This window comes from Homo sapiens, chromosome 3, assembly GCF_000001405.40.
Source record: "Homo sapiens chromosome 3, GRCh38.p14 Primary Assembly".
NCBI lineage: Eukaryota > Metazoa > Chordata > Mammalia > Primates > Hominidae > Homo > Homo sapiens.
Window position 1 is genome coordinate 160,391,720 of NC_000003.12, and position 27,221 is coordinate 160,418,940.

Sequence of the window (27,221 nt, forward strand, 5' to 3'; positions counted from 1 at the left end):
GAAGAGTGACACTCCCCATGCCATGCCATCAAGGCCATGTATAACACAGCAAGATAAAAAAGAGCCAAGATTTCTGACCTTGTGGAAAGTCACATCAATCCTGTACCATCAAAGTTTTAAGTGATAGAGAATAGTTGCATCGTATTTAAATTACTGTCATCAACAGCTAATCCTAATAACAAACTAATGCAGGGAATTATCTTGAATGTGGAGACTGAGGTAAACAGGGATGTAAGGTATGACACAGTAGTCCCAAATGTCTCTTGAGAAAAGGTGGCTAATCAATTTAAACCATAGCCTTCTTGGAACTGCTCTCTTAGGCAGCATTGATACAGACTTTCATAAGGGAAAAAGGGGCAGTCCTCTAGCAGCATATGGAACTATGTGGGATTTCTTTTCAATCTTGATAAGGGTGTTGGCATTTACTTCACTAGCAGTTTAAGGAGGGAAAGGAACTACAGAGAATTAGAGGGAATAACCAAATGTTACTTTCTCCTAATATCCCCAGCCTTAAATGGTAGGCTCAGTCCTTGTGCCTCTTCTGTATCTGCACTCACTGCCATGGTGAACTCATCCAGTTTTATAGCTTAATATGAATGTAAATATATTCACCATATAGTGACAACTACTAATTTCATATTTCTGGTTCATACCTCTCCACTGAACCCCACACTTTTATATCTATTTGACAACTCTATTTGAATGTCTAACAGACATTTCAAATTTAACAAGATCCAAATCAAAACCGTGATTTTCCCTTCAACTTTGCTCCTACCACATTCTTACCCATCTTGGTAAATGGCAATTCCATTCTTCCAGTTACAAACACCAAAAACTTAAGTCATCATTTACTCTTCTCTCACATACCAAATCCAACTTGTAAATAAAAACATTTGTTGGCTTTATCTTCAAAATGTAAAATATTTCACCGCCTCCACTATGACCGCAATCCAAGATGCCATCTTCTCTTAACCAGAATTACTACAGCAGCTTCCTAATTAGCCTCTGAGCCACTCTACAATGTATGCTCACCACAACAGCCCATGTGGCTGATTTAAAATAAACCACAGCCAGGTACAATGCCTCACACCTGTGATCACAGCACTTTAGGAGACCAAGGCAGGAAGACTGCTTGAGGCCAGGAGTTCAAGACCAGCCTGGGCAACATAGTGAGACCCCCTTCTTTACAAAAAAATAAATAATTAGCCAGGCATGGTGGTGAATGCCAGTAGTCCTAGCTACTTGGGAAGGCTGAAGCAGGAGGACTGCTTGAGCACAGGAGCTTAAAGTTACAGTGAGCTATGTTCATGCCACTGAACCCCAGCCTGGCCAACAGAGTGAGACCCTGTCTCTAAAAAATATAAATTAGATTAAATAAACCACTGCTGAACACTCTTCAGTGGCTTCCTATCTCACCCAGAGATTTAAAGACAGTTTCTACTGAAAAGTGCTTTCCTTTCACACCATCATAAAGTCAATATAAATCATGTCAAACCATCATAGTCTGAGACTGTCTGTATATTCAAATCTGTTCATTACAGAACTCTGAAATACTATCAAAAATTAGAAATTTAAATGTTCATAGATTTTACATCCCTGTGTGGATATATGTGTTTATAATATGGAAGGGTTAAAATCAAGAAAATATAATTAAGAGTTAGACCTAAGTAAGCATTATGCTAATTGAAAAAAGCTAGTACAAAAGGACAAATACTGTATGAATTCCACTTATATAAGGTACCTAGAGTAGTCAAATTCATAGAAACAAAAAGTAGAATGATGGCTGCCAGGGGCTAGGGGAAGGAAGAATAGGGAGTTATTGTTCAATGGGTACAGTTTCAGTTCTGCAAGATGAGTTCTGTGGATGGATGGAAGAATGAATGGATGTGACAGTGGCACAACTGTGGATATACTTAATGTCACTGAACTGTACACTTTAAAAAAAAGATGGTTTTTAAAAAAGAAAATAAAAGAATTAGATTTAGGAAATAAAACTAAGAGGTAAAAGCACTAACAATAAGAAAAATTTTAGATGATAAACAGGGAGACCATGACTTGTCAACAAGAATGTACCTATAGATAAGAAGTGGCAGAAAAATCTCTAGTAGTGAACAAGAATGTGAAGAATAGATAAGAAATTCAAGAGCTAGATCACAAGCATATTTATACCGAGTTTTCTTTGGGTCACTTGCATACTAGTTAATAGAGAAAGCAGGCTGGCTTATTACTAACCAAGGTCCTATTAAAAGAAGTACAGTTTTTATCAACGGTCCCCTAAATTGATAGCTCTGACCAGACTCCTGTGTCTCTTCTCCAATAGAGAAAGAAGAAAGGAGAAAGGCAAGCCTTTTATTCAGATTGGTGCCATCACAGAACTTGCACACTTGAGCTGAGATCTCTTGTACAGTAGAAAAGAGAGAGAAGCAGGCTCACCATTTCCAGGCACGGACTCAAAGGCTTAGCCACAGCAAACAGTATGGCCGTTTACTTTATCAGGGGTGTCCAATCTTTCGGCTTCCCTAGGCCACATTGGAGGAAGAATTGTCTTGGGCCACACATAAAATACACTAACATTAATGATGGCTGATGAGCTAAAGAAAAAAAAAATCACAAAAAAATCTCATAATGTCTTAAGGACATTTACAAATTTGTGTTGGGCTGCATTCAAGGCTGTCCTGGGCCGCATGTGGCCCATGGATCGTGGGTTGGACAACCATGGTTTAATTAGTAAAGACCTCCAACTCCCACCCCATCTCAATTCCTGTATGCATTTGCGAAAGTGTATGTGTACGCTGTGGTATTTACATTTCCTTGAAATTCTAGCTATGATTAATAGCCATACTTCAATATTATTCGTATTGGCTATACTTATAATGAAAATTAGCTGGGCGTGGTGGCGGGCGCCTATAATCCCAGCTACTCGGGAGGCTGAGGCAGGAGAGATCACTTGAACCCAGGAGGTGGAGGTTGCAGTGAGCCAAGATTGTGCCACTACGCTCCAGCCTGGGCGACAGAGTGATACTCCATCTCAAAAAAGAAAAAAAAAAACTATTTTAAAAATGAGATGAATTTGTACATGTTGATATAGAAAGATGTCTATGTTAAATGAGAAAACCAAGGTATACAGCTGTATTATATGATTCAATTCCTTTTGTGAAAAGAAAAAGTGAGATATATTTAAGCTGGTGGATACCAAAACATTTTCTGGGAAGATATGCAAGACACTTAATAATGGAGACCCCTAAAAGGGTGGGGGCACTGGGATGAGAAGGAAAGCTTTAAATTCTAATTTTATATGTTTCTGTTCTGTTTGAAGTTTTCAACAATGCTCACAGTATTATTTAATCTATCCACTTATATATTTAATATAGAATTATCTGAGTGAAAGGATTATGACCTAATTTTTATGCATTTCTGCATTTCTATAAAACCCTAATAAATAATATTTTTATAAGATCACCATTCTCCACACTTGAATCCCCTTCTTATTAAAACTCTCACCTGGCTTATCTTCATGAAGATACTATACTTTGTTTACTTTCTTATGTAAAATGAGGCTAATAATACCTACCTGACAAATTAGTTATGATGATTAAATGAGATAAAGTATGTAAAGTGTCCAGTAGAGTACCCAATACACAGTAAGCACTTAATAAATGTTAGTATTTCCAGTGAAAGTTGTTTTTTCACCCTGCATATATATAGTCACTCTTTTCCCACCTAAAAAGAATTTCTCTTTGCAACAACCACTTCCTCACTGTTAGCCCATGTGGCATGAGGCCCAGACTTAAGCCAATTAGAGCATTCCATTCCCTTTGCACAGACTGTTTCACAGGTGGCCCAGGACTTTTATTCAAATCAATGCTGGGGAAGAGAAACTCTCATTCCCCCTTGGATTTTAATTTTAGAAGATATGAGGCTGGAGTTGCTGTAGCTATCTTACCACAGCAAGGGGAGAGCCAAAAGGTGCTAGAGGCCATCATACGGAACCTGAAAATACTGCCAACACAATGGAGTTCAAAGCAAGGAAAGAAACCAAATCCTTGTGTCTTTGTCTGAACCCTTAATCCAGTTATAGTCACCTGACTTTTTAGTTCCAGGAGACAATATTTGTTTTTTCTCAAGACAATTTGGATTGGGTTTTCTGTCACTTGTAATCAACAGGCTCCTATCCTAGATATTACTGTAATTATTTCTTCTTCTTACATTCTAAAAATGAACATTTCCTTAATATCCTTGGTCTGGTGCTAGCTTCTCTCCACTTACAATCTTAAAAACCTAACCTATTTTTAGTGATCCAGTTATTCTTACAGCACTACCCATTTTATTTTCTCTCTTAAGCCATACTCTCTACCTCTACTGCTTGTTGAATATATCTTTCCAGAATTCCAACCTACGGAATAAAAACATACTTATCTTTCAAAATGATATTTCCAAAAAAGAGCTGTTCTGCCTTCTAGCTTCCTGGGTTTTCGGTGATAAGTTATGTGTGTTTCGGTAACATTAATATACCAAGGTGCTTATATTATCAAGAGGAATATTCACTTCTATCTGCACTGTGTCTATATCTAATTTATTAATCTTGAACAATATTCTCTAAATATTTATACAATACTTACATAAATTCATATTAGTTAATATCTAATTTATCTAAATATTTACAATTACAAATTTAATCTTTTAAAATATTTACTCAGAAATCTAATTTCAGCCTTTCTGAAATGTTATGACATTAGAAGGCAAACAAAACACATATTGTTAAAATGATGAAAAAACCTTGCACTTAAAGAACTGAAAATGAAGATTTTAATTCTAATTCCAATTTTTCTCTTTGAACTTATTTCTTCCTGTGGGGTATAATTTTTTTCTAATGTAAAAAGTGAGGTTTTCCTTCTAAGACTGCCTGAAATTGCAGATAGAGATTACTGACAGATCATTTTAGACTAGGAAGATAAGACCCAGTTATAGCAATACTTTCCAAAATGACTGTAACCCAGTCTTTTCCAGGTAGGCCAGCTTCTCTTTGTAATTAAACTCTGTTAATTTCATGAGACATGTCCAAAATATTGGCAACAATCAACCAAAAGTCTTTATTTCTTGTGACTCTAATATCTTCTCAAAATTTATACTTATTCTGAATGTCTTATTTTTGTGGTATATATAAATCTCCAGATTTAAGTCTACTCTGTAGCTGTTTGTTATGTTTTCTCATTATACAACCTGGTTTATGCCCCTTTTCAAAATAGTTTTCTGAGTGGGCAATGGTTAGGTTCAATTAAATTTAAGGCCATCAGTCAGTTGATTTATCAAAACTATATTTTCTGTGACTTATCGTTCTTCCTATACCTTATCACTAATTCAAGGATACACAAAGAATAGTATATGACTGACTTCAAGGGTTTATACTCTGAACCATCACAATCTACAAAAGCTATAGATTTTTACCCCAAAATGACTCCAGATTTTTTTCCATCCTACTTAGGCACTTCTCACTTACTGTTATATAGTAACAATCTTAACTAAAGCCTAGACTGATCTCAGTTTCTTTCCCCTTTAACATACCCCACATAACTACTGTTAATTATTCTTCCTATATTTACCAAGTCATTCCTTGGCTCAGAATTGTTCTAAAAGCTGTTTCCTCCATATCATATCTAACATCCTTGACTTGGTTTTCAAGATCCTTCAGGAGCTACCCTTCCTCTAACTTGATATCCCATTATTCATCCTTAGCATACTTTGATAAGTTCAATGTCATAAACACAGCAAAATCAAATCCTTATGGAGCATGTGCTAGATGAACAATCATAAACAGTATGATGAGACAGGTATTATATGCTAGTTTCATAAATAAATACTCTCAAGATTGACAAACTGAGGAAACTGTCAAGCATATACCTAAAAAATGATGGAACTTGGGATTCTGTTTTCTATATTACATCTTTCCACTACATTGTGCTCTGTTGCCCCAAATACACCACTCAATTTGGTCTATACTTTTTTTTTTTTTTTTTTTTTTGAGACGCAGTTTCGCTCTTGTTGCCCAGGCTGTAGTGCAACGGCACTATCTCGGCTCACCGCAACCTCCGCCTCCCGGGTTCAAGAGATTCTCCTGTCTCAGCCTCCCTAGTAGCTGGGATTACAGGCATGCGCCACCATGCCCTGCTAATTTTTTATTTTTAGTAGAGACGGGGTTTGTCCATGTTGGTCAGGCTGGTCTCGAACTCCCAACCTCAGGTGATCCGCATAGTTGATACCTCCCCAACTCAGGTTTTGTAGTGTTTTACAACCTTTGGAAATGCAAAAATTCCAGAAGCCCTCAAAGATAATCCTTATATCTTCTTGGTATGCTTACCAGCCAAAAAACTTTTTTTCATTAAGGTTTATTTTCTGTAGCTTGTTTTATGAAAACAACAATTCGTTTTTAACTTCAAACATAAAGATATATCACGATATTGAGTCTACGCTTATGCAATACACACCAGTCTCCCAACCTCACCAAATTCTTACAATTGGTTGGGAGGGGGGTGGCTCTCCACACCTTTTTGAGAATCACTGAACCTGACTTCATGCTCTTCCAGGGAAGAACCATAATGTATTTAGAGTGATCATGTAAATTCATTCAAAAGGGAGATTTAATGGTGATTTAACATGCCAGACCCTAAGTAAGCAAAAGTTAAAGAAAAAAAAAGGAGGCTAGTAGTTCTCAATGTCAAGTACTTAAGAGTTGTTGCATGAATACTGGAGATAGTCAAATGAGCCAGTGGCTCTTTAACAATATAGGGAATTAGGAGCAAGTATGAGATTCTGATTATAAAGTTGTAGGAAAACTAACTTCCCAGAAAAATGCACATAGAATTATGTATACAATGTCAGGCGAGTTATGAACTCTGAAGCCCAATCACCTACCACCAGATCCACAGACCTCAGGTTAAAAACCCACTAAAACTAAGTTCTCGGGGAACAGGAATCGCCAAACTTGCTTACTAATTCTAATTATGCCTTACCCAGGGCAATGTATACAAACACTACTTAGGGAATATTTGCTGATCGATAATTTCCTCATAAAAATAACCATAACACTGGCGAGTCGTTTTTTCCACTAAAGAGCCTTTTAGTCAAATTATTTTAAAAGTCCTAAACCTTTCACTAGTAACACCAATGATCTCGAAAATCATTATTGCGCTATTCACATGTCGACTAAGCTATCACGAATCCAGGTCTTCCAGTTGTCTCTCTACTCCCTTAAAATTTAGGGCTTCCTCCTTCGCATCCCAAAAGCTACACCCGGAGCCCCGCTGCCGCCAGGGAGACAGAAAATGATGCTCCACGAAGCACACAGCTTCAAAACAGGAAAGATGGGATCCAGTGATGGCTACAACTTCCAAACCCTTTTCTCACCAGGTCCAGAGGTGAAGGGATTTACCTCAAGTTCCAGGAAAGCGGTGGCGATTGCTCTCAAATACCTGGTACCTCCCCGTCACCATAGTGACTTCTAAGAGTTACGCTCCCTTCCTCTTCCCGCGATACTTCTACGCGGCACGTCATCCGAGTGGGCCCGAGACCCCGCCTCTCGGCGAGCCCGCCCTCTTCTGAAGAGGCGTTTCTGGACCACTGAGCCCCGCCTCCCACTGTGAGCGGAACCCTACCGTTTTTAAAAAAATCTTTTTCAAAACTTGCCAGGTTGTCTTTCCAAATATTTTTAATAATAGTGCTGCTGCTGTAGACCACAGAGAAAAGAATCCCTCGCTCTTCCTTTTCACTTAGTAGAAACTTCTACCGCGTAGGTCCCGCCAGGAGTTCGCGCATGCGCAGGAGCGACAATAAGATGGCGGTGATAATCGCCGCACTTTTTTTCAAATTAGTGGATCCCAGAAATCATTGCGCGCATTTGTAACGAATTTCCGTTCGAGTTTGTATTTTAGGCGCCATTTTCGAGTGAAGGACCCGGAGCCGAAACACCGGTAGGAGCGGGGAGGTGGGTACTACACAACCGTCTCCAGCCTTGGTCTGAGTGGACTGTCCTGCAGGTAAAGTACTTCTCTTCCTGGTCAGGTTGTCACGCTCTTACTTCCTGCCTTGTCCGCGAGCGCCTGGAAAATAGAGGCCTTGAGCCCGAGCGGCGAAGTCCGGGCTTGAAGCTGCCGCTGGGAGATTTCTCTTGCTGTCACCCCTCCCCCCTCGGCCGCTCCCCGGCGGCCCGGGCTCCCGCGCGCAGCTCCCGGGCGCCACTTTTCCAAGCTACTCAAATGTCTCGGGGAGGCCCTGAGCCTCGCAGATCTTTTCTTTAAAAAATCCTAGTCTCTATCTGGAAAAGGGCGTCTCCCCCTACCCCTCTTCCTTCTGCCAACGGACTAGTCACCGGGTCTCAGCCTTCGCTGGTGACCTTTCATGGTTTACTGTCCAACGGGACTCCGCCTGGGGAGCTGGAGAGACAAACTCTTGCCACTCCAAAATTAGCAAGCGCTGCCAGCGTCCGACTTGAAGTTGCTAGTGGTTAGTCCCAGCCTTCGCCCTTCGCGGTCCGACCGCTGAGAGGAGGGAGACTTCGTTATGCCCCGGGCCGTCAACGGCGCCAGGAGCTAAAGGGCGGGCAGACGAAAGCGGGCGGCGAGTCGCCAGTTAGTCTTCACCGCTCTGGAGAGAGTTGCTAGCCACGGGATCCTGACCCGGACACGAACTCGTTTCTCCACGTCGGTGCGCGCTTGCATCCCTGGCCCCGAAAGCGTGGGAATGTCCGGAAATGCTGGCGTATGGGAGTTCCTTAATTAGAAATGCGTTAGCGAATATTATACGCTTATACTATGGGCGGACGGGTGGAGAGCCTTAAAAACAACAACAACAAACTAAGCAGTTGCTCAATCGTTGATTGATCCTCAGGCACGTCTAGATTTTCCCACTTACATAGGTCTTGTTAAGAAACCAGTCCTGCCTTCTTGCCACTCGTGTCTTTCGATGGCTCCCTTCCCGAAGTCCCGCTGCCTCTAAGCGGAGTGTTAAGCGGGGCTCTCGGAAGCCGGTGGACCGAGATTTCCCCGGGTGGGGCGGGCGCGGTGTAGCGGCCCGCGGGCTGACTTGCTCCCGGCTGTCCCCCGGCCCCAGCGACCATGCCCCGTAAAGGCACCCAGCCCTCCACTGCCCGGCGCAGAGAGGAAGGGCCGCCGCCGCCGTCCCCTGACGGCGCCAGCAGCGACGCGGAGCCTGAGCCGCCGTCCGGCCGCACGGAGAGCCCAGCCACCGCCGCAGGTGAGTGACCCGCCGCGACTCGGCGGGAACGCGCGCTGTGGGACTGGCAGGCAAACGCGCCCAGCCCGAGGCTGGCTGGGGTTGTTGAGCGCGGAGTTGACATCTGAAGGTCCGGTGTCGGTCCGGTAGAGGCTCAGGAAAGCCATTTGGCAACTTTGAGATAGGATTCCCGTGCAATTTTGGTGTAACGGCGCTGGAAGGGATGGGGGCGAGCAAACGGGTTCAGTTGTGAATTTTTGTTTGTGACCTGTGGAATGGTACAGGTCACAAACAAAAATTCAATATCTTTATTGTATTCCCGCTAAAATCGAGACGGTCAATCAAGAGAGCAAGTGGACTTTTTTCCCAGAGACAATCAATATGACTATGTGAGCATGATGAAAAGTTTTTTGACCCTAACCTCACCTCCGTGGTGTTAGATTGCCGTTAAAGAGAAGACGATAATTTATTTGAAGCCACTGTAGCTTTTGTGAGTCCAGGAGTTGGGTGACATTATTAAACCCTCGTGGCAGTGTCGCTGAAGTTCATGAGTTTCCAAAATGAAGGTTCCAGGTGCTCAGCGGTACGGAGAATTGCATCTAGAGCCTTAGGATTTAACCTCCTGTTTAGGATAGGCAGCAGGAAATAGCTTGTTACGGTTTTCCCAGATTTGCTCTATGATGTAGTGTTTTGACTCTTAAGAGGTATAGGTGTATAGAATTTTGTGACCGGTGGCATTTCTTTCAAGAATTTCTTTTTTAGTAAAACCAAGCTGAAGGTTTAGTCACCCCCGTGAGTTTAAGATAATAACATATTTAAGTGGAAAATATAGACTCCTAAGTTTCATAAATAACATCCCTCCATCCCCTACTTTAAAGATGGGCAGTCATTAGTTCTCCGAACTAATTGCACTAATGTAGGCTTTTCCCCCGCCGTTTGCCTTCGTTTTCCTTTCCTTTCACTGACTTAGAGACTGCAAGTGAGGAACTTGATAATAGAAGTTTAGAAGAGATTTTGAACAGCATTCCTCCTCCCCCGCCTCCAGCAATGACCAATGAAGCTGGAGCTCCTCGGCTTATGATAACTCATATTGTAAACCAGAACTTCAAATCCTATGCTGGGGAGAAAATTCTGGGACCTTTCCATAAGGTATTTGTATGGAAATAACTATTTTATAACTTTTTAAATAACTATTGTAAGGTAATACGTTTTTACAAGATGTTTCAGTTTTGTAACTATCCTAAAATTCATTCACTCCCTATTTATCCTGATAGTCTTTCTGTCTCTCTCTCTCACACACACACACACACGTTTCATATGATTTTAACACTGAAATTATCTTTTGTTTATCTGGTTATCTTTGGTACCTCTAGTTACAAAGTTTTCCATTGAATGGAGTCGGTGTGTGTTTCTGTTTGAAAGAGTATTTTCCCTTGGATAATTTTTTTTTCTTAAAGCCTTCTATGGAACCCTTAGATAATTTAACTATAAAATGAGTTTTCTAAAACGTCTGCGTTAGAATTGGAGCATTCTTATTGAATGTTGAAGCTTTTAAGAGAGAACTTGATGTAAGAAAACTCAAGTCGTATGCCTGTGATTAGCAATGAGAACTTTTAAATACTTGCAGTTTTTAACTGCAAGTAAAAAAATCTAACAGTTTCAGTTAAAATCAGTAGTATTAGCATGACCTTATGAACTTTTCCGTGTTTTGTTTTTGTTTTTTTAATGCAGCGCTTTTCCTGTATTATCGGGCCAAATGGCAGTGGCAAATCCAATGTTATTGATTCTATGCTTTTTGTGTTTGGCTATCGAGCACAAAAAATAAGATCTAAAAAACTCTCAGTATTAATACATAATTCTGATGAACACAAGGACATTCAGAGTTGTACAGTAGAAGTTCATTTTCAAAAGATAATTGATAAGGTAAGGGATTTTTACTGTTATTGGCAAGTTCAAGTAAGGAAAATGGACTTAAATGCATTACATATTTTATTTTTGGCTTTAAGAAATTTGTATGTAATTACAGCGGAAAGCATTGGTTTCATTATCTCTGACCGTATTTTATTTTGGGGGAGTGGTGGTGCCTGTTAAAATACTTATTTTTTAGCTAAAGAAATGAAGTATAAATAGTTCATAGTAATCCTTTTTGGAATAAAAGCATTGAGCAGTTTTAGGGTCCTGAGTACTAAATAGGCATTATTTTACTATAAATATTCAGTTCATTTTTAAAGTTATATTTTGATTGCTTTAGAATAAATTAGCTAAACTTGAAAATGTAGCAGTTAGCCGGTTTTACCATCTTCATTATTTCAGTGCATTTTAACTCTAATGTTAGTGGCCCCTGAGTATCTGTGATATGAAAGAGCTTTGCTTCAGTTTGACTACTGCTGTAATTAAGTCCTTTAGAAATGGGGGAAGGACAAGCTAATGTTTGTTTTCTAGAAATGGAGACAACTAGAGGTAAAATGTCTAGATTATTTACCTGTTGAGACTTTTTCTCTTCTGTTTAATAATGTAGGAAATTGATTGTTCAAAAATGACTCGATGGAACCTAAAAATATAGAAAACTAATTACATAATGAAATTGGGAGGTGATTTGTCTTTTGAATTCGTTTTCCTTTTTTTAATACAAAGTGCTTTAATTACACAGAATCATCTATTTTAATTTGGTTTCTTTTGTGCTTTCTATTGTACAAGTTGGGTTGGAAAATAGATTGCCAGGAAATCAGATTTTATTCCATTGCATATTAATTACATTTGATTTATCTAAATTTTAGAAGCCTTTGCTTCAGTATGACAGAACTTTTAAGGTTAAGGGAAAGTGTTAAAGTAGATTTGCAATTGATTTTTTTAAAAATCTGTTTAAAAGAAAATCAAGGGAATTTAGTTGTTATTTCTTTGTGATTCTTTTTACTTTAAATTAACGGCACACTCTTTACCCTCCCACACAAAAAAACTAAAGTGTATCACCCGGTTACTACCTTCCTTCCTTTTTCTTTGAATCATCATTTTAAAAAGCTGCAGCTTTTTAATCTGTCAACATGTTAATAATTTGTGTGGGTTTTGGATATGGTGGGAATCTTGTCTACGTCTTCTCAATCATAAACGTTTTTAGGCTTGTTTGGAGGTGGGTTTTTTCGTTGGCTGGTTGGTTTGGCTTCTTGATTTTTGTGATCTTTGAGAAAGGGACCAAAACAGCATGGAAAAGTATCAATTCTTTGCTAAGTTGGGTTATTAATGAGAACTACTGGCAGTTTGTGTGCATGTTCAATTGAAGTTTTTAATCCATAGAATTAGTTTCAGTATGAAATGAGTGAATTTTGAAGTAGGCCTATGACTTAATACCAACAATTGTTTTCTGGTTTTGTTTTTCCTCAAAACAGGAAGGGGATGATTATGAAGTCATTCCTAACAGTAATTTCTATGTATCCAGAACGGCCTGCAGAGATAATACTTCTGTCTATCACATAAGTGGAAAGAAAAAGACATTTAAGGATGTTGGAAATCTTCTTCGAAGCCATGGAATTGACTTGGACCATAATAGATTTTTAATTTTACAGGTAAGTTTATTAAAGACTTCAAAGATTCTCTTATTCTTGTTACTTTTTTTTCTATAAAGCTAGGTTGGATGAATCCTACATTTTTGAGGCCTTAAAGTACTGTAGCAGCACATCATGGTTTACATGCTACAGTCAAGATGCGAATCATTATTTGCTGCTCTAGAAATTTAAGGAAATTCATTCAAAACTATGTTTTCATCATCAGATGTTCGTTTTATGTTTGGATGAACTGACATACTTGTTCCACTCTAGCAGCACGTAAATATTGGCGTAGTGAAATATATATTAAACACCAATATTACTGTGCTGCTTTAGTGTGACAGGGATACAGCAACTATTTTATCAATTGTTTGTATTTCCCTTTAAGGTAACATTTTAAATGAAATGTATTATATTTTAATCTATCCTTTTCCTTTGTTTTTGTTCTTATTATCTCTTCTGATATATAACCAAAAAATGAAAAAATCTGTACACTTGGTGTTTGATTTACCTAAGCACCTAGTTAATTTAATCTTTGTAACACTTTGGATGGTTAACTTAACCTTTACTCAAGTTGGTTTTTGTTTTGTTGAAAATGACTTACTTGGTGGAACCACTACTACTGAAAGAACGAAACTTTGATATTACATTGTTAAGTATCAGAGCTGTTACAGAGCAAGTCCTTTTAAAGAGATGTAAAAATTAAGTACCTGTGCCAAACTGATTTTTATTAGAAACCCTGTTTTCTTTAAGTAAAAGTATATTCTACCAGCATGGCTTGGTAAGAAAAATCCCCTATCTTTTTTTCCCTGTCCTCAAAATTCAGAATTTTTCGGAAAAAAAAAAAATTAGGGTAAAACCATGGCTTTGTCAAGTTCCTGTTTGATTCGAGGGTATCTTCTTTTCCTGTGTTCTATCCAGAATCACCGAAGCATAATAAAAGCAAAACTATTTTGTGATGCAGAAATGACTGAAATAAGTAGGGAATTTTGTTAGGGTGACTGGATGTTCCTAATAACAAACTTATAAAATGTTAGCCTCTGTTTCCATTTTAGTCTTTATTCTTCAATTGTTTCTAAAAATTATTACTTTTAGACATTCATAGTATACAAGGTAAATCAGTATCATTCTAGGATAACCTTTTTTAATATCTTTTGTTACCAGGCACAGTATATTTGCAATACTTCAACCTAAACTTATTTAAAAATTAATGTTGAGGAAATTAATTGCAGATATATTTCTAAACAAGATTGGAATTTATAGAATGTGGCATTAAAGGATTTTGTGTGTTTTTAAAATCAAATTGAACTGTTTTATTGACTTACATATTCTGGGACTTGGTTTGGTTAATAATGGATAAAAAGTTATGTCCCTATATAATACTAAATTTGATGATGATACCAATTTGCAGGAAATTGTACTTATGTTTATCTTTTGCTTAATCTTTTACCGTCATCCTGGGATAATCAAAGTTTTACATTTATCCAAAGATTCATCAAAATACACTGCATTTTAACCCTTCTAAGGATAATTTTTTTCTCTGTACAGCATCTCTGTACGTAATTCAGTAATAAAGGAAGCTAATGTAATATTGTCCCAACGAAGTAAATAATTTATAAATTGTCAAATTTATATTACATTTGTGCTTCTGAAGTATATGGGATGCTAAAGCCAATTTGTTCACATGATAATCTGAACCTTTTTATGTGATCTTTACAATTGTTTAAAAAACATTTCTTCCCAAATAATACAAAGGTGAATGTTCCAAGTTAACAGATTCAGTTTGACTCAATTAAATTTATAGATAAGGACCTTAGGAACTCACTTGTTAGGAATAAGAAACAGGGATTGGACTACGGTAGAACTAATAGTGCCCAATTAAAACTTTGAGGGAAAGTGACAATGGTTTCTATGGATTGTTTTTTTTAAGTCGCTTATGAAAATCTCAGACTCCTAACTGGCAATTTAAAGCATTTGATGGTAAGTAAAAATGTGATTTTTATTACCTTCTCTCCTACTGAATAACATCTATCTTAAAAACTGATTTGGGAGGCTGAGAAATTGGAAACAGCATCGTAGTATCAACATCCAAGACCTAAATCATTACTTGGAATAAAACATGTAGACTATTTGGCCAGTAATAGTGATTAACAGCAAAAGTAATCTAAATTTAGTAAAAATAAACATTTATTTTTGAGATTAAAAAGAACCAAATTTTTTAGAAGTTCCTAAGAGTAAAATTTTTCAGTGTTAATATATTCGCTTAGCAAATTTTTCAAGTAGGCATTTTTATTACTTAAATCCATTAAAAATTTCATTAATTGGCCATTCAATTGAATTCCTATTAAGGCACTATGCTAAAATGCTGTAAGTAATATTAAGATGGCTAAACCTTATTTCTTGTCCTTAAAGACACATACATGCCTTCAAAAAGTTTGTTGTGATTGACCATTGTGTTTTTTATAATCGTACATTTTCTTTTATATATACCTACTTTGGGAGCCTCGGTCCCGTTGTAAGTCTGTACAAGTAGAGTTTTATTAGCTCTGTATAACATTTCTTGGGTAACTATGACTTATAAATTAGGGGTGCTTTTGCTCCATTCAGGGGTAGAAGAATGGTTAATGTTTTTACTAAAAAGTTGTATTAATGATTGCTGCCTCAGGAATATTTTTGTAAACTCCTCAAAAGCTACAACTATTAGCACAACTTTAATTTTGTCAAAGTTTTCAACTTCATATGCTTTTGTCTTCATATTACAAAATCTAAAGTTTGAAACACGAACCAGGCTGGGTGCATTAGCTCACGCCTATAATCCCAGCACTTTGGAAGGCTGAGGCAGGCAGATCACTTGAGCCCAGGAGTTGGAGACCAGCCTAGGCAACATGGTGAAACTATGTCTCTATAGAAAATACAAAAATTAGCTGGGCATGGTGACACACCCCTATAGTCCCACCTACTCAGGAGGCTGAGGTGGGAGGACTGCTTAAACCCAGGAGGCAGAGGTTGCAGTGAGCCAACATCGTACCACTGCACTCCAGCCTGGGTGACAGACCTTGTCTCTAAATAAATAAATAATAGCCAAGTTCTTTTTTTTTTTTTTAATTATTTTGTAATTTGGAGATTTAATTAACCTAGGTCTGAGTTGTTGCCTAGCCATCTGTTCTTTTTTCCAATGTACTTCTCTTAAGCTTGTCACATAAACTACTTGGGTTCTAGTCTCTTAGTCTGTAGAAATGAGCCTATGCTATAATATCAAAAGAAATTTTTAGTTTTTTCAGTAATGCCTCAGTTTTCCAAAGGTGTCTGATTCAATATCCACAACTAGGGTGAAGGTGGTGGAGAGCAGCAAGGAAGCTACCTCTAACCAACCAGAAATAGATATCAAGAAGTCCAGCTACTAACAAGTTACTCTTTCTGTTTTATTTTAGAAAGATACTAACCTTGGTGGTTTAGTTCCTTGGCCTCTGGTAGCTTACAAAGATCAAATTAGAGTAAAATGTATTGGAGGAAGATAAAGAACACTAATTTATAGTATAGTATAATAAAAGATATAGAAAATAAAAAGATGATCAAGATAAAAACTTAAACCTCAGTAATTTTAGGCCATTTAATTTTTATGCAAACACTCATATTTGCTGTAAGAATCACTGAAACCCTCCTTCATAGTAATTACAAGTAAAAATAAAGAGAAGAATAATTGAGGCCTTACTAGGACAACAAAACTTTGTTATAGCTATGTACTGTTTGAGTTTTCTGTAGTTGATGCTTGCTAAAATTTGGATTACATTTGAATAAGGATAAAGGGCATCATACCTATTCATTCCTCTTAGATTTCTAAGCTGTATTTCAGTAAATTGATTCTCAAAGAGTGGTATAACTGGATCATAATATCCTTGTTTGCCACTCAAGAAAGTGTTCCATAACTTAAGATAACAGTGGTGGGAAAAATCATTTAAGACCTTGTTTCATATGCTTTAAGATACAAGAAATAGAGATAACACTGGGAACATATGAAACTTTGTCAGCATCAGATAATAGTGTTGTAGCGACTTGAAACATTTTTTGTCTGTGATTGTGCCAGTCACTATTTGTGACTTGGATTGAACCTTGATATGACTTTAAATTCAGGTTGATGTTTTAAAATTATTTCTGAAATATATTGAGCTTATTGCCCTAAATTAAAACTATATTCTGTAATTTTACATGAGTTATGTAAGTTTTCTGAAGAAATAAGGAGGAATCCTTTAGGCACAGACTGTCAATCTACAGATTACATAGGAGATGGCACAAATGGAAAAAGAAGGAAGAAAGGAAATGGTAGCAAGTGGTAGGGCAGGCAAAGGACATCAAAGAACAGAGCAACAAGAAAAGTCCCAGGTTGTCATTGTAATACCACAGTAGTCTTAATAGTCAAAGGACAAGTAAAGGCCTGTTAATAGCCTGTTGATTCAATAATGCTAATCTGATAATATGGTAACTGGTTTAAAAAAAAGCAATACGGTATAATAATCTTAAGACTGCTGTAATCCCAGCACTTTGGGAGGCCCAGACGGGCGGATCACGAGGTCAGGAGATCGAGACCATCCTGGCTAACACGGTGAAACCCCGTCTCTACTAAAAAATACAAAAATTAGCCGGGCATGGTGGCGCGTGCCTGTAGTCCCAGCTACACAGGAGGCTGAGGCAGGAGAATGGCGTGAACCCGGGAGGCGGAGCTTGCAGTGAGTCGAGATCGCGCCACTGCACTCCAGCCTGGGCGACAGAGCGAAACTCCGTCTCAAAAAAAAAAAAAAAAAAAAAAAAAAAGACTGAATGTTATACAGGAGTTGAGATGTAACTATTTTGCTTTGTAAATATCCTGCCTTTAAAAAAAAAAATGCTCAACTCTATTAGAGGAAATCATAGCTGTATCTTTCATTTTATTTGGAGAGAGAGGAACAAACAACCAAAAATGAGCAACCATTGTTATTTACCCAAAGCTAAGCTGTTTCTTAATAGCTGTACTCTATCTCTTCAGTAAGTAATTTGCCAGGAGAAATACAATGTTTTTAAGGAATATTTTTGTCAGCGTAAACTGTTAAACACTGAATCCCAACTTTTAGCTATCTGAAAAATGTATACTTAAATAATACATTATGGCCATTTGACTCAAATGTAAGTTCTTTTGGGATGGTTTTTCATTTTCTTAAAATAAGTGTTCAGATATTCTCCTTGAATTGGGTAGAATATTAATTGTCAGATATTGTTTTTTATTTGGATGATAAACACTAACCCACAGGATTTAAACTACAACTTCTAGACTAGGCATGGTGGGTCATGCCCTTAATCCCAGCATTTTGGGAGGCTGAGGCAAAAGGATCGCTTGAGCCCAGGAGTTCGAGACCAGCCTGGGCAACATAGAGGGACCACCATGTGTACAAAAAAAATTTTTTTTTAAAGATTAGCTGGGTGTGGTGGTGTGCATCTGTAGTCCCGGCTACTTGGGACACTGAGGTGGGCGGATCGCTTGAGTCTGAAAGGTCAAGGCTGCAGTGAGCTGAGACCACACCACTGTACTCCAGCTTAGGTGACAGAACAAGACCCTGTCTCAAAAAAATAATAAATGAGTGAACAAACAAACTGCAGCCTCTAGATCAGTAGTTCTCAGCTGACAGTAATTCTGCCCCTTTTCCCATAGGACATTCAGTAACGTCTGAAGACAGTTTCGGTTGTTATAGCTGGTAGAAGTGGGGATGCTACTGGTGTCTAGTGGGTGAAGGTCAGAAATGCTATTAAAGCATCTTATAATGCCCAGCATAGCTCTCCACAACAAAGAATATCCAGCCCAAAATGTCAGTAGTGCCACTGTTGATAAACCCTACGTAGATACAAACTTGAATAAGACTCTTGGCTTCCTCAGTGACTTAACGTTCATCCTGTGTAATCCAAAGGTTTGGGCATTTTTCCAGGCTTCAATCCTGTCTAAAACTTAAACTCTTGCTGCAAACATTTAGAGAGAACTAACAGTTGAAAGCAGAATAAAATACTTTATATAAATATCTACATATTTTCACTTATATACCGATTCATACATAATATAATGAATGTTATGGAAAATAACTTTTGGGGTAACAGTTTTACTTTGATAATCATTGTGCTTATAGACTGTCAGAAGTATCGAAAAGTGATTTATGCAAATAAAATTATTTCTTAATGAGTAGATTTTCAAATAAGCTGTTTTGTCCACTGTTATTGAATTGTTTACTTTTTGTAATTATGTTGAGGCTTTTGGTGAATTATGATGCTCTCATTAGTAAGTTTTACCCCACATTTTTAAGGTTCACCTGTATTCACTTAGGAAATAGGAATCACTAAGATATTTGAATTAAGAAAACAATATACTATTTTTAATGTGTAATTCTTTTTGTTGACTTTTTTCGTCTTTGCTATTTTGTTGAAAATAAGAGGTATATCTTTTTTCATTTGCCTGTACCTATTCTTCCATTGTAATAGTCTAGAGTACAAACAAGCTACTCCTATAACGTAGCAGCATTTGGCCTGAACATACTCAGACACAATTTTCTCTCCACCATCAAACTAAATGACTGCCTAGCAGTCAGCCTTGATGGTTACTTATTATGGATTTTTTTTCTCTTTACTCTTCATAATTAAACTGCATAAATGCAAATATGTAAAGTTAATCTAAGATTTTAATTACAGTTCAAAGTTGTTATATTAGTGATTACAAACTGAAAGTTTTCTGATGTCTTATGTACCAGTGCCATTAGTTTTCTCTAGTCAAGGTGGTCTGTTTGATTTCTGTTATTACCATGAGAAATAGGTAATATCCTTTTCTGTCAAAGGCTCTTGTTTTTAGAAAACTGAACATGTAAGTTTTTGACTACCTTTGAAACCCATTACTTGTTAAGGAACTCCTAAAAACCATGTTTGTAGAGAAAGTTGGTAATACTACTTTGGGACAGGGTTCCTAACACAGTTTAACCATGCAAGTGTTTTTGAAAATTCTTTGTTTTAGAACAGGAGCTTCAATTGTGTTATTAACAATTGATAATGTTTCCACTATAATCAGATTGCAGATTAAGTGAAAGCTTTCCTAAATTTTACTTAAAGAAACAAGTTTTATTTATTTATATTGAACATTCTAGTTGGGGAAATGAGTGTGTGTAAGTGGGTGTATATTACACTTTTATAAGGATTTATCTAAGGGAATATAAATTCATGTTTCATATCTCCCTGTGTAAAATTAAAACTCTTAGGAATACCAGTGAAAATAACATTTTTATTTATACCTTATTAAATCATTGCACTACTAACTGTACATTATTTAGATGTTTATTACTCTTGGCTTTATTATTTAACTGCTCCCAATTCTCACTTAAGATTGATTTAGCTAAACATACACAGTGAGTATGAAATATAACTTTTTTTTAAAGGGTGAAGTTGAACAAATTGCTATGATGAAACCAAAAGGCCAGACTGAACACGATGAGGGTATGCTTGAATATTTAGAAGATATAATTGGTTGTGGACGGCTAAATGAACCTATTAAAGTCTTGTGTCGGAGAGTTGAAATATTAAATGAACACAGAGGAGAGAAGGTGAATCATCTGTAGACTTTCATTGTAAATCAGAATGTTTCATTTATGATCTAACAAATTTTAGTAAGTCAGATATTCATGTTATAATACTTAATGAAGAAGTGTTATATTGAAATTTATATCTTAACATTTAAGATGAACATTCTCCTTATTAACTGTTTTTATCTAATGTTTGCATATTTTAAGTTCATATTGTACATATGAAGTGTGTATTCAGTCTTTAAACTTTTAATTTCTGTAGTTAAACAGGGTAAAGATGGTGGAAAAGGAAAAGGATGCCTTAGAAGGAGAGAAAAACATAGCTATCGAATTTCTTACCTTGGAAAATGAAATATTTAGAAAAAAGAATCATGTTTGTCAATATTATATGTAAGTGCCTTGATTGATATTACCAATTTTTATATTAGTTTTTAACCATTAAGTCAAAGCCCTTCTCTTTTCCTAGAGAAACATGAAGACTGAAGTGAAAAAAAATCTCTAAATATTGTTTTGTGTGACTGAATGTGTTAGCTCATGCCTGTAATTCCAGCACTTTGGGAGGCTAAGGCAGGAGGATCACTTGAGGCTGGGAGTTCAAGACCAGCCTGGGCAACATAGCAAGACCCCATCTCTACAAAAAAAGGAATTATGTGGTGAACTTATCCAATGTGAGGACTATCTGGCTGTGACACCTGTCATCCCGTTGATCACCAGGGTTGAATTTATTAAATTAGGCATATTAATTCATTGAAGTTGACTTTTTAGTATCCTGCTTTAAGTTGGGAGGTAGGTTCACAGGTATTTATTACTGTACTCAGTCCTTTTACGTGTGCACTTTTTAAAATTCGTGTAATAGCAGATCTGATTTTTTTCAGCTTATGATGAACTGTTTTTTGAGATGGGCTGTTTCACCCAGGGTGGAGTGCAGTGTGTGATCACGGCTCACTGCAATCTCAACCTTCCGGACTCAGTTGATCCTCCCACCTCCACTTCATGAGTAGCTGGGACTACAGGGCACACACCAACACACCTGGCTAATTATTATTATTATTATTGTTGCTGGGATTTTTTTGTTTTTATTTTTTCTTTTTTCTTTTTTTGGTAGAGATGGGGTTTCGCCATGTTGCCCAAGCTGGTCTCAAACTTCTGAGTTCAGGCAGTCTGCCTGCCTCAGCCTCCTAAAGTGCTGGGATTACAGGCGTCGGCCACCACATTGGTACAATGAAATCGATTTTTGTTCCTAAATTCTAGCCTTGACCCAGGGGGATTTTCCCCTCATAGCCTAGGCAGTCATATATTGACTAGTTAATAATATTTTAGAAACAGTTAGTTTTACTAAAATTGTTATACAGTTTTGGAAATGGCATTTTAGGAGCTTCAATTTCTTTTTTTTTTTTTCCTCCCTATAGTTATGAGTTGCAGAAACGAATTGCTGAAATGGAAACTCAAAAGGAAAAAATTCATGAAGATACCAAAGAAATTAATGAGAAGAGCAATATACTATCAAATGAAATGAAAGCTAAGAATAAAGATGTAAAAGATACAGAAAAGTAATAATATTTTGGGAAGTACTAAAAGTATTTAGATAATTGTATTACATGTGTATTTATATATAAAGTTACTTCTAGCACATTGTGAGTGTAAGACATTTGCCAGCATATCAAGTGGTGGCCCCCTTAGTGAAAAAAAAAAACTTGCCTTGCATCCAGTTCCTTGTTACAGATGAAATTCCCTACTCTGAAGTCTTAGAACCGTGGGGATGCTACCCCCTAGTGGCGTAGCACAGTAACAAACAATAAGCATTTGGCTTCACAGTTTAATCTTTTAGTAGTCCACAAATCTGATAGAGGGATAGGATTTGGGTTTTTCTAGATAGATTTTTAAGGGTTTTATCATGTCCCTACTTGATGCCATTTTTCAATGACACTAGTATCTCTAATTATTTTTAAATAAAAAAATTTGTATAGTAAGTTTATTGTATAGTAACTTGTAAGTATATTCGTAAAAGGTAAAACCAAAATTTTACTCCTATGGTAAAATTTTTATATACCTAGACATTGTAGTCACTGGAAAATGTGTTATTTTCCCTCCAACTTAGAAAGGCAAAATAGCTGTCATAATCAAAAATACAGGTGCTTCTTCAACTATGGGGAGAGGGATCATCTTGGAATAAGGAGAGTTTTAGGATCCTGCCTTATTAAGAGCCTGGACATATTTATAGAGGAAGTGTTCCAGGTAGGAAATGTGGTTTTAAAATATGTGCACATTCAAAATAATGACTTACAATATACTTGCTTTGCTAGGAAACTGAATAAAATTACAAAATTTATTGAGGAGAATAAAGAAAAATTTACACAGCTAGATTTGGAAGATGTTCAAGTTAGAGAAAAGTTAAAACATGCCACGAGTAAAGCCAAAAAACTGGAGAAACAACTTCAAAAAGATAAAGAAAAGGTAGGTGTTAGAAAAAAATTCTTAAAATTTCACGTCTGAATATCATACCTAGTTTTCATGGATGTGTTTGCCCCTTATTGCCTAAGAGAATGAATTAGTATTCTAAATGTTGTTTTAAGGTTTGTCTCTGAACATGATTTTACCCCCTCAAGGGAAACCTTGCTTCTACTGACTTTATTTTGCAGGAGGTTTTTTGTTTGGTTTTGGAATTTTGCAGAGATGGGGTCTCAGTCTGTTGTCCAGGCTAGCGTGCAGTGGTATGATTATAGTCTTGAACTCCTGGGCTTAAGAAACCTACCTCAGCCTCCCAAAGTAACGTGGACTACAGGTGTGAGCCATTGCTCCTAGCTTGACTTTGAGTTTTAAAGTTTATATTACAATAATATGTTATTGGGAAAACATTTACCAAATCAGGAGTTCCATTTTGGTGTTAATTTTAATTTTCTTTTTCCTAAAGTAGTAGTTTTTAAAGATATTTAAGTTAGGTATTACAGACTTAAAAATATTGCCTGTCTTCTACAAAAACTAAGCTAACAGGATCAGAGCAGGATTTCCCAAGAATTACCAATGTTGGCCAGGCACAATGGCTTACACCTGTATTCCCAGTGCTTTGGGCGGCCAAAGTTGGAGAATTGCTTGATGCCAGGAGTTTAAGACCAGCCTGGGCAACATAGTAAGATCCCATCTCTACAGAAAATCCAAAATTAGCCAGGCTCAGTGGAACTTGCCTAAAAGTCCTAGCTAGTCAGGAGAGTGAGGCGGCAGGATGCCTTGAGTTCAAGATTCCAGTGAATAGTGATCAAGCCACTGCATCCAGCCTGGGTGACAAAGTGAGACTCTGTGTCTTAAAGAGAGATAGGAAAGCTCATAATTTGGAATCTCTTAAGCTGTGTTCATGTTCATAGCTCTGTCATATTTAAACAGATATGATACCTTAACCCCAGCCCCGCAAAAAAAAAGCTTTGTTCCATATGGTTACACAATAATTATAGATTAGGCTCTACTTTACGCTATAAGCATTTTCTAAATGTATTTGTTCACAAAATACTTTCTGCTTAGCACAGCTGATAAATACGTTGAGTCAGTGTTTAAGGAAGTGGCATTTTGGGAAATGTTGAACTTCACAGGTACTAGATAATCAGAGTAAACAAAATAACAAGGCTTTGGGGGTAACCCCAAAGACTTGACAGACTTAGCTAAGTGTAACTGTTACAGAGTGATTAGCCTTTAGGCATAGACTGCATGGATAAGTGATTATTATCAGAAGATGTTAATGGAGTAAAATATTAGCCCTACATGATGACTCTGGAAGAGTAAAGTTGTGAAAGATTTTAGGGTTGGGGAGATGGTAAAGATAATTTGTGGTAAGTTATGATATACCAGGAAGGATAGTTTAGAAAATTCCGTGTAGTCAGAGCATATTTATAGCTAAAGAAGAATAATTACAACCTGAAATCAGGAGAGAAGGATGACAGACCTGAGGCCCTGCCAGAGACAGTTTTCCTTCATAAGAGGTCAGGTGTTTGTAGAAGTAGTTTTACTATTAGATTGAGAGAATATAGAAATTACAGTGAATAGTCGGGAAAATACTTGTTAAAGCTAGCTAATTTAACTCTGATTATAAAGAAAAGAAGAACTAGAGGACCCTGAGAAATGCCTTTAAATATGTCAAATATTGATAGTATTGGGTAACATAAAGATGTATGCTCCTATAACTTGTTTTATAATCTCAGGTTGAAGAATTTAAAAGTATACCTGCCAAGAGTAACAATATCATTAATGAAACAACAACCAGAAACAATGCCCTCGAGAAGGAAAAAGAGAAAGAAGAAAAAAAATTAAAGGAAGTTATGGATAGCCTTAAACAGGAAACACAAGGGCTTCAGAAAGAAAAAGAAGTAAGTTTTTTTTTTTTATCAGTGTTTATTTTGGTGGCTTTTTTTTTTTTAACTTAAAGATTATTTTTTCAAAAATACTGAAACCTGAACTGGTAAGTTTGGACTTTTAATGTCCAACATTCCTAAAACTAGTCAACCTAGACTTAGATGACTATTCTTTTAATTCCTGCTGACATGTTTTTTAAAAAGTTTACTAAATGAGAGTTTGTAGTAGTAGCAGAAGGTGTGATGTCAAATACAGTACCTTGATTATTATATATGCCACTCCTAAGCGTGTTGAATCATCATATTTTGTTGCCACCTGTAAAACCTGGAGCCACACTAAGCGCAGGTTAATGTCTCTTTTGTTTTTGCTTCTATAGCTCTTGTGTAATAGTTAAAAGCTGTGGCTCTTGTTTCAGTTCTTGGTTCAAATCCTAGGTCAATCACTTACTGTCTCTGTTCTTGTGCCGGTTGTCATATCTCCAAGTCATCTTCCTTAAAATGAGAAAGAATATATCTACTTTGTGAAAATAAAGAATAAATATATCTATATAACGTACTGAGAAAGAAAATAAATGTTAGCTATAATTTTAGCATTATATTAATAAAACGAGAGCATGAAGTTGTCACATTGATATGTATTATCTACCCCAACAAGAGTAAGCATAAAATTATCTTTGTTTGTATGTACCACAGCATTTTTGACAGTGCTAAGCATGTTAAATACCTATGTTAATGGATAATGGTAATTGACTGCATTAAAAAGTCATGGTAGAGTCTGCTTTGGCATATCAACATGTTCTAATGTCAAACTATAAAACTTAACAGGTTAGAATACCTGTGTGATGAAGTGTCACTTAATAGAGTCTGCTTTGGAATATGGACATGTTCTAATGTCAGATTATAAAACTTTACAGGTTAGAATACCTGTGTGATAAAGTGTCAATGGATAATGCAGTAGCTTTCATGATGGGATACTTCATAGTTAGTGGATTTTCACTGTTTGCTTATTTAATATATATTGAGTACTCATGTGCCCTGCACCCCATGTTAATGACAAAGCTAGGCCTCAAATGTCTTTATTCCTCAGCGTAATGATCGATCTCACAAAGCTCTTGTGAAATCAGTTGGGAAAAGACTATGTACAGTGAATATTGACAACTAGGCAAAAACTGAATCTAGTCCACTTGTGAGAATTTCTTATTTCTATATACTGTGCTTATAGAATCTCCTTTCTTAAATCGAATATAAAATGTATGGTTTCATTTCAGTGTAGGTTTGAAAGTAAATATCTGTCCAGATTTAATGAACTCATATTTTAACAGAGTCGAGAGAAAGAACTTATGGGTTTCAGCAAATCGGTAAATGAAGCACGTTCAAAGATGGATGTAGCCCAGTCAGAACTTGATATCTATCTCAGTCGTCATAATACTGCAGTGTCTCAATTAACTAAGGCTAAGGAAGCTCTAATTGCAGCTTCTGAGACTCTCAAAGAAAGGAAAGCTGCAATCAGAGATATAGAAGGAAAACTCCCTCAAACTGAACAAGAATTAAAGGAGGTAAATCTTTGCTTCTCTGTTGCATCAGAACATCATTCGTCCACTTCAGCTTTATACATTTTTGTTTTTAATCTCCGCGTCAGAGGTGACTAGTGATAAATTTTCTTCATTTTGTATAATCTCAAAAGAATGAGGTCAGCATTTCAGTATTCCATATGTGAACTGAGACTATCAAGAAACTATATTATCCCCAGAAGCACCATATAGTAAGTAAATCACCACCACCACCCCACTGTAGAAATAATTTAAACAAAAGAAAGTTTGTGTTTCTTTAAATCTTAAGTATAGACAATTTAAAGATAAATAAAAAACAAGTGTATATGTATTTATATAATGAATATACAAACAACTATCTTAATGTGTTTTGGGTTTTGAATTTATGGATGTAGTTTCTTTGCTTGCATTCCAAAATGTTATAAACTAACTAAGATGTATAGCTTATCGGTGCCTGTCCCCCATCCTTGAGTGAATTAGATGTCTAAGGAATTTCGTAAACTTTAATCTCCAAAGATCTCCAAAACCTCAGTAGGCAAGGTGGCAATAAAAAAAAAATCTGTTTGAAGTGTAATTATACTGAAAATAAATATGAGTCTTTTTCATTTTAGTTAATGCATGCTATTTGGTCATCAGGGAATTTCATGACCAGGTAGAATTTAAATGTAAATTAAGTTAGATCCAGTGACTGCTTCTGTCTTCCTGGGATTCGGTTTCTTTTGGGATGAATTATGTCAGTAACTTGGTTTAAACTTTATGCCAGTACAGTAAGTAATAGACATAATTTAAATCTAGTGGATGGAGGAATATACCAGTTAGAAAAGATGGCTGCTGAGAAGTTGGAGATTGAGAAACAGAGGTTGTGTTTATGTGTGCATGTTTGTGGTTCCTTTCTTGTTGGGAGCCTGGCATTTTTGTATAGCAATAGGACTATCCAGTCATCTTTCGTTTCAGAGGTGTGCTTTTTCTCCAGTACCCCCCAGCCCCGTT

General features: G+C 36.7%; 2 protein-coding genes, 1 long non-coding RNA gene and 2 other non-coding genes across 13 annotated transcripts in view, besides 4 other annotated features; 3 read left to right on the top strand and 2 right to left on the bottom strand.

The window, feature by feature from the left end:
• The window catches only part of IFT80 (intraflagellar transport 80), a 142,240-nt gene extending 134,734 nt beyond the window's left edge, over window positions 1–7,506 (bottom strand). For both annotated transcript variants that reach the window (NM_020800.3, NM_001190241.2), the window contains exon 1: window positions 7,427–7,506. The gene's annotated coding sequence lies outside the window, so the exon portion shown is untranslated. The remainder of the gene's footprint in view (window positions 1–7,426) is intronic.
• The window catches only part of TRIM59-IFT80 (TRIM59-IFT80 readthrough (NMD candidate)), a 258,294-nt gene that overhangs the window by 164,266 nt on the left and 66,807 nt on the right, over window positions 1–27,221 (bottom strand). The gene's annotated exons all lie outside the window — the stretch shown is intronic.
• Window positions 7,352–7,671: an enhancer, noted in NCBI's record as "active region_20757". NCBI's record gives its function as "activates an Ori minimal core promoter by ATAC-STARR-seq in GM12878 lymphoblastoid cells {active_cell/tissue: GM12878}" and the evidence as "EXISTENCE:reporter gene assay evidence [ECO:0000049][PMID:35858748]".
• Window positions 7,352–7,974: a biological region, named in NCBI's record as "ReSE screen-validated silencer GRCh37_chr3:160117119-160117481".
• Window positions 7,612–7,974: a silencer, noted in NCBI's record as "fragment chr3:160117119-160117481 (GRCh37/hg19 assembly coordinates)". NCBI's record gives its function as "represses an EF-1alpha promoter that drives an FKBP-Casp9 reporter gene in an ReSE screen in K562 erythroleukemia cells {active_cell/tissue: K562}" and the evidence as "EXISTENCE:reporter gene assay evidence [ECO:0000049][PMID:32094911]".
• Window positions 7,931–27,221, top strand: part of SMC4 (structural maintenance of chromosomes 4) — a 35,304-nt gene continuing 16,013 nt past the window's right edge. Inside the window, exons 1-11 of one of the 6 annotated variants that reach the window (XM_011512311.3) lie at window positions 7,931–8,030; window positions 8,881–9,246; window positions 10,196–10,374; window positions 10,957–11,148; window positions 12,609–12,785; window positions 20,201–20,365; window positions 20,607–20,734; window positions 21,754–21,894; window positions 22,648–22,798; window positions 24,532–24,696; window positions 26,004–26,237. In XM_011512311.3, coding sequence (XP_011510613.1) covers window positions 9,108–9,246; window positions 10,196–10,374; window positions 10,957–11,148; window positions 12,609–12,785; window positions 20,201–20,365; window positions 20,607–20,734; window positions 21,754–21,894; window positions 22,648–22,798; window positions 24,532–24,696; window positions 26,004–26,237 — 1,671 coding nt within the window. In that variant the 5' untranslated portion in view covers window positions 7,931–8,030; window positions 8,881–9,107. Of the gene's footprint in view, window positions 8,031–8,839; window positions 9,247–10,195; window positions 10,375–10,956; window positions 11,149–12,608; window positions 12,786–20,200; window positions 20,366–20,606; window positions 20,735–21,753; window positions 21,895–22,647; window positions 22,799–24,531; window positions 24,697–26,003; window positions 26,238–27,221 lie in introns of those variants that run through there. The other 5 variants (NM_001002800.3, NM_001288753.2, XM_006713459.5 and 2 more) reach the window with 5 other exon arrangements.
• Window positions 9,012–9,081: a silencer, noted in NCBI's record as "silent region_14855". NCBI's record gives its function as "represses an Ori minimal core promoter by ATAC-STARR-seq in GM12878 lymphoblastoid cells {active_cell/tissue: GM12878}" and the evidence as "EXISTENCE:reporter gene assay evidence [ECO:0000049][PMID:35858748]".
• Window positions 12,869–12,966, top strand: MIR15B (microRNA 15b). Its single transcript, NR_029663.1, has one exon. It is a non-coding gene; the product is annotated as a microRNA 15b (primary transcript).
• On the top strand, window positions 13,026–13,106 carry MIR16-2 (microRNA 16-2). Its single transcript, NR_029525.1, has one exon. It is a non-coding gene; the product is annotated as a microRNA 16-2 (primary transcript).